Raw genomic sequence first — 11,107 nt, 5'->3', positions numbered from 1 at the left:
GACTCACCTGAACCCGGGAGGCAGAGGTTGCAGTGAGCCAAGATTGCACCACTGCACTCCAGCCTGGTGACAGAGCAAGACTCCATCTCAAAAAAAAAAAAAAAAAAATGCAATGTGGAATATCCACACAGTAGAATATTATTCAGCAATAAAAGGATGAAGTACAGATATATGCAATAACATAGGATCCTTGAAGATACTATGATAACTGAAAGAAGCTAGTTACAAAAGACTATACTGTAGTTTCAACTTATGTGAAATGTGCAGACAGGCAAATCTGTAGAAACAGAAAGTAGATTAATAGTTGACTAGGGCTGGGATATACAGGTTAGGGGAAATGGGAGATGACCGCTTATGACTATGGAATTTCTTCTAGGGGTGATGAAAATGTCTTACAATTCATGTTGGTGGTGGTTGCATAACTTTTTGAATATATTAAAAGCCATTTAGTTGTATACCTTAAATGGGTGAATTTTATGGTATGCAAATTATATATCAATAGAGCTGTTTAAAAAAATCAATGTAGGATTTTTGTTCTAGGAAAGATGGAATGAACACCTGCCACTTTCTTCAACTAGTAATTATGAACATTCTGGAAACATATTTAAAAAAATAGAAGATATAAAAAAAGAACCAAGCTGAAATTTTAAAATTAAAAAAGAAAATAACCAAGATCAGGAACAAGGCAAGGATGTTCATTCACCCTTATCATTCCTATTGACCGTAGTACAGAAAGTCTTAGCTAGTGCAATAATGCAAAGTGATAGATAGATAGATGAATGGATGAATGGATAGATAGATGGATAGATGGCTATCCTTGTCAAAAATTGGCATGGTTGTGAAAAATCAATAGACCATAAATGTGAGGATTTTTTTAGATGCTCAATTCTAGACCATGAATTTCCATGTCTATCTTTATGCCACACTGTCATTGTAACTTTGTGGTAACTTTTGAAATCAGGAAATGAGAGACAGAGACAGCTAGCTAGCTAGCTAGCTAAAATACTGATAGAAAGGGAGAAATAACAGTGTCCCTGTTTGCAGAAGATATGATTGTCAACACAAATTATCCCAAGAAGTGTACATGAAACCCTTCTCTTTTTTTTTAACTATGCTTTCAGTTCTGGGATAAATGTGCAGAACATGCAGGTTTGTTACATAAGTATGCATGTGCCGTGGTGGTTTACTGCACCCATCAACCCACACCTACATTAGGTATTTCTCCTAATGCTCTCCCTCCCCTAGGCCCCGACCCCACAACAGGCACAGTGTGTGATGTTCCCCTCCCTGTGCCCATGTGTTCTCATTGTTCAACTCCCACTTATGAGTGAGAACATGTGGTGTTTGGTTTTCTGTCCTTGTGTTAGTTTGTTAAGAATGATGGTTTCCAGCTTCATCGATATCCCTGCAAAGGACATGAACTCGTCCTTTTTTTTTTTTTTTTTTTTTTTTTTTGCTACATAGTATTCCATGTTCTATATGTGACACATTTTCTTTATCCAGTCTATCTTTGATGGGCATTTGGGTTGGTTCCAAGTCTTTGCTATTGTGAATAGTCCCACAGTAAACATATGTGTGTATGTGTCTTTATAGTCGAATGATTTCTAATCCTTTGGGTATATACCCAGTAATGGAATTGCTGGGTCAAGTGGTATTTCTGGTTGTAGATCCTTGAGGAATCACCACACTGTCTTCCACAATGGTTGAACTAATTTACGCTCCCACCAACAATGTAAAAGCGTTCCTATTTCTCCACAGCCTCGTCAGCATCTGTTGTTTCCTGACTTTTTAAAGATTGCCATTCTAACTGGCATGAGGTGGTATCTCATTGTGGTTTTTATTTGCATTTCTCTAATGACCAGTGATGATGAGCATTTTTTCGTATGTTTGTTGGCCGCATAAATTTCTTCCTTTGGAAGTGTCTGTTCATGTTCTTCACCCACTTTTTGATGGGGTTATTTGTTTTTTTCTTGTAAATATGTTTAAGTTCTTTGTAGATTCTGGGTATTAGCCCTCTGTCAGATGGATAGGTTGCAAAAATTTTCTCCTATTCTATAGGTTGCCTGTTCACTCTTATGATAGTTTCTTTTGCAATGCAGAAGCTCTTTAGTTTAATTAGATCCCATTTGTCAGTTTTGGCTTTTGTTACCATTGGTTTTGGTGTTTAGTCATGAAGTCTTTGCCCATGCCTATGACCTGAATGGTATTGCCTAGGTTTTCTTCTAGGGTTTTTATGGTTTTAGGCTTTACATTTAAGTCTTTAATCCATCTTGCGTTAATTTTTGTATAAGGTGTAAGGAAGAGGTCCAGTTTCAGTTTTCTGCATATGGCTAGCCAGTTTTCCCAACGCCATTTATTAAATAGGGAATCCTTCCCACTTTGCTTGTTTTTGTCAGGTTTGTCAAAGATCAGATTGTTGTAGATGTGTGACATTATTTCTGAGGCCTTTGTTCTGTTCCATTGGTCTATATATCTGTTTTTGTACCAGTACCATGCTGTTTTGGTTACTGTAGCCTTGTAGTATAGTTTGAAGTCAGGTAGCGTGATGCCTCCATCTTTGTTGTTTTTGCTTAGGATTTTCTTGGCTATACAGGCTCTTTTTTGCGGGGGCGGGGGGGTGGTTCCATATGAAATGTAAAATAGTTTTTTCTAATTGTGAAAAGAAAGTCAATGGTAGCTTGATGGGGATAGCATTGAATCTATAAATTACTTTGGGCAGTATTGCCACTTTCATGATATTGATTCTTCCTATCCATGAGCATGAAATGTTTTTCCATTTGTTTATGTCCTCTCGGATTTCCTTGAGCAGTAGTTTGTAGTTCTCCTTGAAGAGGTCCTTAACATCCTGTGTAAGTTGCATTTCTAGGTATTTTATTCTCTTTGTAGCAATTCTGAGTGGGAGTTCACTCATGATTTGGCTCTCTGTTTGTCTATTATTGGTATATAGGAATGGTTGTGATTTTTGCACATTGATTTTGTATCCTGAGACTTTGCTGAAGTTGCTTATCAGCTTAAGGAGATTTTGGGCTGAGATGATAGGGTTTCCTAAATATACAATCTTGTCACCTGCAAACAGAGACAATTTGGCTTCCTATGTGAATACCCTTTATTTCTTTCTCTTGCCTGATTGCCCTGTCCAGAACTTCCAATACTATGTTGAATAGGAGTGGTGAGAGGGGAGTGGTGAGAGAGGTCCATGATGAAGGTCCTGGCAGATTCACTGTCTCCTTAGGTCCTGCTTCCTGATTTGCAGATAGCTGTCTTCTCTTGTATCCTCATGTTGTGCAGAACAGAGAGAGAAAGGAAGCAAGCTCTCTTGCATCTCTTCTTATAACAGCACTAATTCCATTTACAAAAGCTTCGCCCTCATAACCTAATCACCTCCCAAAGGCCCCACCTCCAAATACCAACACATGAAGGATCAGATTTCAACACATGAATCTTGGGGAGATGCAAATTTTATTAGTCAGAATTCTCCAGAGACACAGACCACAGTCAAGTTGACACATAAATTAACCATCAAAAAAACATTCAGCCCATAACAACAGGTTTTTACAAAATTGAAAATACTATTATACAACCCAGCAATCCCATCAAATATTAGAAAACCCTGTCCTGGATTACAAACACAAATATCCATTCAAAACAGCCAGACGCTCCCTGGCAAGGAAATATCCAAAGAAGAAATCTTTTTCATTTTCAGATGTATAATCACTAGGCTGACTTCCCAACTTAATTTAAGGAAGTCATTTTCTCTCCAGAGATGATTATGTGCTACACTGATGACATAAATATTGGGAATTATTGACTATTTTGTTTTTTCATTGCAAATTATCTACTATGTTTCCACTTTACCACTGTCTTTGTCAATGTGCTTGCCTGATGACTTTTGGGTCAATGAATTAAGCCATTTCTGAAACTGAAAATTTGAGAACTGAAAATTGAGATTTGAGATCTGTAAGACACTGCCTGACAACCAGTTATTCTGTACTAAATCATTGTTCTCCAAGGTCACATTAGATGCCAGGAATCTTTAATCCATGGGACACATAAGACAGACTTCATATTTGGAAGGACAATTGCTAAATCAAATTAATCAATGTTAACAAATGTTTGAGTAAGTATCTAGGAGATATAAAATTATGTCAACTAATCACCGCATCTAAACTCAGCACTTGTAAAGATATAAGTTATGAATAATAATAAGAGACATGGGGTCAGTCCTCCTTGGAGGAGTGCCTATGCCTCACAGAAATTGTTTTGTTTGGTACTGTGAATAATATTAGAAAGAAATTTTCCCTAATTTCTTATGTTCCCTGGGCTTCAGTTTTCTCATCTGCATATTGGATTTGAACTATAATCCCACTGAGGTCCCTCGAGTCATAATGAGTTTAATGGACTGGGAAGGTGACTGGGATGTTGGACCGTCCATTAAACTCATGAAAGTACCATGAATTCCAAGCTCTGGGAGAACTCTGTGGTGGTAGCACTGTGTACTCTGGTGGCCTTGGCTTCCTAGACAGCGTTTCTCAGACTTTGACCTGAGAATCACCTTTCTTTAAATTGCAGATTTTATAGCTCCTCTCCTTGATATTTGGATTTGGTAAATCTTGAATTGAGCCCAAGAATTGCACTTTAAGCAAACACTCCAGGCAATTCTGATGCAGGTCATCTGTTTGAAATCACTAAGATATCAAAGTTAACAATACCATAAATTGGTTTCATTAATGTAGGTTAATAATACAAATTGGCTACATTAATGTAGGTTAAGCTTTGCTAACACTAAGACATCAAGGTTAATAGTACTATAAATTGGCTGCATTAATGTAGATGGCTGAAGATCACTATATCACTATACTGTGTCCTTTATTTTGGAGAAAAATAATCAAACAAACCTTTATGCAAGGAATTTTGAGTCTGTTAGTTTTCTTTAGAAAAGGAGTTTTAGAGGAAGGGGTTAGACAGAAGAAAGAACAAAGAGTTTTCTCTTTAAACAGATTTTCTGAGATTGTTTAATTTTCCATAAGTGCTTTCCAAAACTAGAAAATGTGCATTCTAGGCTGAAACTTCTTAAAATAAGTCCAATGCTCTATTTGATGAGATCCAGAGGCAACTCCCTTTTATAACTGTGAAGATGGGATGGAAAGCAGGAATAGCCATGAGGGTGCAAGAAAAAATTATATAATTCAAAGGAAAGAAGAGACAGAAGGAACTGGGGAGAAGATAATGGGTTGTAGTTTGAGTACAATTCAGAGATTAGAAGATATTTCCACGTGTGAGTCAAAGTAGATGGGCTCATTCAGAATTCAGGTGTTGTAATTTATCATGAGAGGAAGAGTGAGGAGTGAATGGTGATGTCTTGAGAAATGGAATGGATCCAAGTCCACTGTGTTCAAGTTCAGCTCGGACATTTCCAGACTGTGTGATCTGGGGAAAGCTGCTCAAACTATCTGACCTTTGTTTTTTTTCAGCCTTAAGATGGCATAATAGCAACCCATATCATGGGTTTGTTATAAAAATTAAGTAAATTGACACATGCAAAAATCCATTGTGAAATGCAAGGTTTATTAAAATGAGGGAATAATTACTTGTATGAAATAATTTTCAATTTACCCTAGATAAAATAATTAAATTATATTTTCTTATAATGATAGCAAAAAGAGCACTGAAACTTGAAATTATAAATCCTACAAACCGATGGTGGTTTTGCTCCACCTAAATCTGAGATTTTAGGCAGCAAATAATAGAGAAGGTAAAATGAGAGCTCTCAAGAGATGGGCTTTTGTTGCTCATTGGGAAAAAGAATTGAAAGTGTTTCTTGGAAGCAATACAAAAAAGTTTAAAAAGAAATCACACTTATTATATAACTAAATAAGTGTCAAAAGTTTCTGAAAAGCAATCAACAAAGCCATGCATTTCAGAGACCACTGAGCCAAAGAAGCTTGGGTATAATTGTATGAGTTTAATAGATGGGCCAACATCCCAGTCGCCTTTCTCAAAAAGTCTGAATCTCAGTGCAGAGATTTCCAAGGGTTTATTCTGCACAACAAAATTTCCATTTGACCTCAGAGTGTCTTCATTCTATGAAGCATTTTATAGCTATCATTGAATGCATTGTCTGATCAGCATTTTTGTTGCTAAGAGAAAGCCTTTTGGTCTGTGATTCATTTAGAAAGTCTTGACAACTCACCATAGTGTTACCTATAAGAAGATATGAACATTTTAGCAGTACAGGGCCCGATTTCAATATTGATGTAAGAGGATGCAAAGTTGTTCAGACCAAGGGAAAAAATCAGCGGAGTCATGAATGGGAATATGTGGGCGTGCAGGAGGGTGTGCTTGGAGTAGGGGGTGATAACGGACAGGAATCCACAAGCTACACTGTGTCCTGGCATAATTAGTAATTAAACTCCTTTCAATCTCTAAAGCATCCTCAATTGTGCAATAAATTATAGCTCACTTTAGTGATAGGCCAAATTGGAATTGTGAGTTTAGTCTGCCTGATGTGATCAATTCAGGTGCTGAATTTTCCTTATCCCAACCGTGGTCTTTTTACTCCTGGTCTCTGTCCCTTTATGACTCTTTCAAGAAGATCTCTGGTTCCTGAAACATCAGCCTTCAACACTGCCCCTAAGCAACCTGATAATGGTTTAGACCTTCATAAGAACCTACAGCCAACTCTTGGTAGCATTCAGATTCCAAGCACACAGCAAGAATCAGCAGGGCCAGTGTAGCAAAGACACAACAGAGTACTTGCTGCCATCCACAAGATATAGCTCCAAACCTTAATAAAATAATCTGTTCATCCGGGTTAGGATTCTCTGCATTTTATTTGTTTGTTTGCTTGCTTGTGTTTAAGATTGGAGCCACTTCTCCAGCTCTGTGCAGGATTAGGGGGGTTAGAAGAATGCTGGGATCTTCCACTCCCCACTTTACCAGAGAAACCTCATTCATATTTGTTTCATCTGTGGTGCATCGTATGTAGGGTTTTATATTGGAAATACAGTGTTTCCCTGCTTTAAAAAAGTTGCCACTGTGCAATTGAAGGGTACCTCTATTAGACAGAGTTGAGACACTTGGTATTCTTCTGACAACCCCTACTCCCTTACTACCAACTGTGGTAGGATTGCAGCTAGACACTCAGGCAGTTCCCAAGTGAAGGCATCACGGACTAACACTGAGGTCATTTCCCTGGTCAATTCCCTGTTTGGGGGATTGTCATAATAAGGTAATTATGTCACTTTTGTAGTGATGCCTTTAGGGTTCTGCTCATGTGATCAGCCCTTTCTGATTATAAAAACTCATAAAATGACTGAATGGGGAAATGGGTTTACTTGGACTTAAATATTTCTTCAAGAAATTAAATAGTAATTCTTTTGGTGATCACTGGAGGACATAAGAATCTCCAGGTGTTCATGTTTTTAATGGAACATGATTACATTTGAATTTTATATCTGAGGAGACAATTGTTTATTATGTGTTAATCCCTGTTCTAAATACTTTACATATAATAACTGATTCAGTCCTCCCACGATCTTATTAGGTAGGCAGTATTGTTCATCTTACTTTTTTCCCCCCACGAATCAGAAAAGGAGCTATACAGAGTTTAAGCAGCTTGCCAGAGTTCTCATCACTAATAAGGGGAAGAGTTGAGATTTAAATCCAGCCAGTGTAGCTCCAAGGGTTGAGTTCTCACCGCTGACCTGTGCCACGGAGAAATGATCTGGTGTGGAGCAAAGAAATTTGCCAACCCTATCGCATTTTCCTTCCTCCTCCTCCATAACAGAGCCTCGATTGTCTTGGACTTTCACTATATCTCATCTTAAGCCTCCTCAGAGAAGGCTCACTTTATCCTCTGGAAAGAACTTAATCTAAGAGTAATTGATTTCCCATTATAGTCTCCAGATCAGGCATGTGCCTTACACATCGAGATGTGATGTGATATTTGTCATGACTAGAAAAGTTTTTTTTTTTAATTCAAACTTATAAAAAGTTGTAAAATAAAAACAGTACACTTGGATATTCTTTACTAAAACGTGTGCAGGTTTGTTACATAGGTAAACTTGTATCATGGGGGTTTGTTGTACAGAATATTTCATCACCCAGGAATTCAGCCTAGTACCCATTAGTTAGTTTTCCTGATCCTCTCCCTCCTGCCACCCTCCACCCTCCAATAGGCCCCAGTGTGTGTTGTTCCCTTCTATGTGTCCATGTGTTCTCATCATTTAGCTCCCACTTATAAGTGAGAACATGTGGTATTTGGTCTTCTGTATCTGCATTAGTTTGCTAAGGATAATGGCCTCCAGCCCCATTCATGTTCCTGCCAATGACATAATCTCATTCTTTTTTATGGCTGCATAGTATTCCAGGGTGTATATGCACTACATTTTCTTTATTCAGTCTACCACCGATGGACATTTAGTTCTTTCTCACTCTTCCACAGAGAGCCTATTGAAGCCCCTGTGTGGCAGTGAATAGATGTGAACCCTGGAAATGCTGCAGTCATCGGGCTTCTCTCTCCAGAAGGAAATCTGTACCTGGAGTTGCAAAGTCAGAGAAACTATGGAGAAACAGAGCCACTAAGTTACATCCACTCTGTCGAATATCCTAATCCTGGACGTCTAATTATGTGAATCAACTAATTTCCTTCTTCATCAGGACATCAAGTCAATCCTTGGCTGTTTTATACCCTAATATATAGTGAGATATTTTCTTTCAATGATGTAATTCATATTTGAACATTTTCACTGTAGCAAAAAGAATCTGTCCAGAATTGTTTTAAGAGGAAGATGATATTCATGATAAGGAGTGAATTACTAGAACAAGAAATTATAATTTGATAAATAAAAGTTTTCAACTAATAACATGTTCCATATTTACGAATGTGTTGAATCATCTATTTTAAGTCATATGTTAAATGCTGATGGAGAGAAACCTTTTGTAGATGTAATCTATGGACCACTGAGCTCTGATAGTGATGAAAGTTCATGCAGTAAGAGGGGAAATAGTGTCCCTAAAATTTACTTGTTTCTTGATTGGTATATTCATTTGCAAGGGCTGCTGTAACAAAGTGCCACTGAATGGATGGCTTAAACAACAGAAATATATTGTCAGCTTAAACGACAGAAATATATTGTCTCAAGTTCTGGAGGCCAGAAGTTTGAGACCAAAGTGTCATCAGGTTTGGTTTTTCTAAGGCCTCTCCCCTTGGTTTGTAGGTGGTTGTCTTCTCCTTACATGGTCTTCCCACTACACTTGCCTATGTCATTACATCCTCTTCTTATAAGGACACCAGTCGTATTGGATTAGGGCCCACTCCAGTAATCTTATTTAACTTTAATTTCCTCTTTAAGGAGCATATCCCCAAGTACAGTCATTCCGAGATAATGGGAGTTAGGACTTCAACATATGCATTTTGGAGGAGATAAAATTCAGGCTGCAACAATTGGCAGCAAGGAAAGTTTTAATAAATTTTTTTAAAACTAAGCACACTACAATCAAAGTTAAGCATAAGCTCTGAGTGAAGTCATTTGTCAGTAATAAACAGTCTTCAGGAAGTGAGGCTTTTTAACTTTTTTCTACTTTTTAAAATGTTTGCTATGGGTTGACAAATTCTATGAAATGTTTTTATTTTATTAAAACTAAGTGGCAAATAGAGATCACGCTAGGGAAAAATAAGATACCATTTTAATTAACAATATTTAGGGCATCAGTTTCATTCTAATTTAAATCCACAATCCCTCCTTGCTAATAATTGAACAGTCCTGAGACCATAAGGCTGTGCCAATGCTTTCAAGCTGCTTCTGCTCCTCAGAGCCTCATCCACTGTGCACAGGATGCATCTGGGAGGTGTGCTGGGGTGGGGGGCGGGGGTCACGTGGAAGGCCTGGGAACCCCCAAAGTGCAGGAGTCTCACAGCAGAAATAAGTTGAATGTGGTCAGGTTTTTGAATCTGAATGGCTTTAGAGTCAGTAGTGCTTATCCTTTTTATCATTCACCTTTGATAAATAGTTTTACGGGAGGAGACCACCCCTCATATTGTCTTATGCCCAATTTCTGCCTCCAAAGAAAGAAGAAGTAAAAACTAAAAGGCAGAAATGAAATCCTCAAGCAGACAGCCTGGCGCCAAACCCTGGGCCTGGTAGTTAAAGATCACTCCCTGACCTAATCAGTTATGTTATCTATAGATTCCAGACATTGTATAGAAAAGCGCTGTGAAAATCCCTGTCCTGTTCTGTTTCCTTCTAATTTACCGGTGCATGCAGCCCCCAGTCACGGACCCCCTGCTTGCTCAATCAATCACGACCCTCTCACGATCACAACCCTCTCACGCGGACCCCCTTAGAGTTGTGAGCCCTTAAAAGGGACAGGAATTGCTCACGTGGGGAGCTCAGTTGTTGGAGATGTGAGTCTTGCCCAAGCCCCCGACTGAATAAAGCCCTTCCTTCTTTAACTCGGTGTCTGAGGGGTTTTGTCTGAAGCTTGTCCTGCTACAGTTTTGGAGTGCCTGACCCCAGGCAAAAAAAAAAAATTTATTTATACATTTATAAATGTCACAGAAACAGGATATTTAAAAAACAAATGCACACAGTTAATCTGTTATTTTCTTGCTGCCCTTCTTTGTTTTGTTACGCACATTTCCTGGAGAGTTGAAGCCCCATTTTGGAGACCATTGACTTAGATACCTTTTGTTATTGGCAAGCACCTGTGGATACACACCTGGAAGAGACATATAAGTCATTCTGGGGGAAGGTGGAATGAATGTGCAGGTTTTCTCACAGCCCATCTGGCTTTCTCCAGATGCGAAGATTGCACAGGTTGATGGGACCAAATGATCTCTGGTCGCCAATGGTCTTTCCACATTTTCTTACCTTTGAACACACATCCTTAAAACAAAGTGAATTTTTTATGTGTTTAATGCTAACGCTGTTAAGAGCCACCTCCTAAAACTGTGTGACTGTATTTCTTGACTGTTGCCTCCTGCAAAACCTGCTGCACCTGCCATTTCTCTTGAGACACCACTGCACAACCTCCTACATGGACGGGCTTGGAAAGAGCCTTCTCCAAAGTCTGCAAGGGAGGAGGCATGATTTTTATGGTCCTTCCA

The sequence above is a fragment of the Homo sapiens genome, chromosome 6 (assembly GCF_000001405.40).
Source record: "Homo sapiens chromosome 6, GRCh38.p14 Primary Assembly".
Lineage (NCBI taxonomy): Eukaryota > Metazoa > Chordata > Mammalia > Primates > Hominidae > Homo > Homo sapiens.
The sequence above is the reverse complement of the archived record's forward strand: the minus strand, read 5'-3'. Positions refer to the sequence as shown.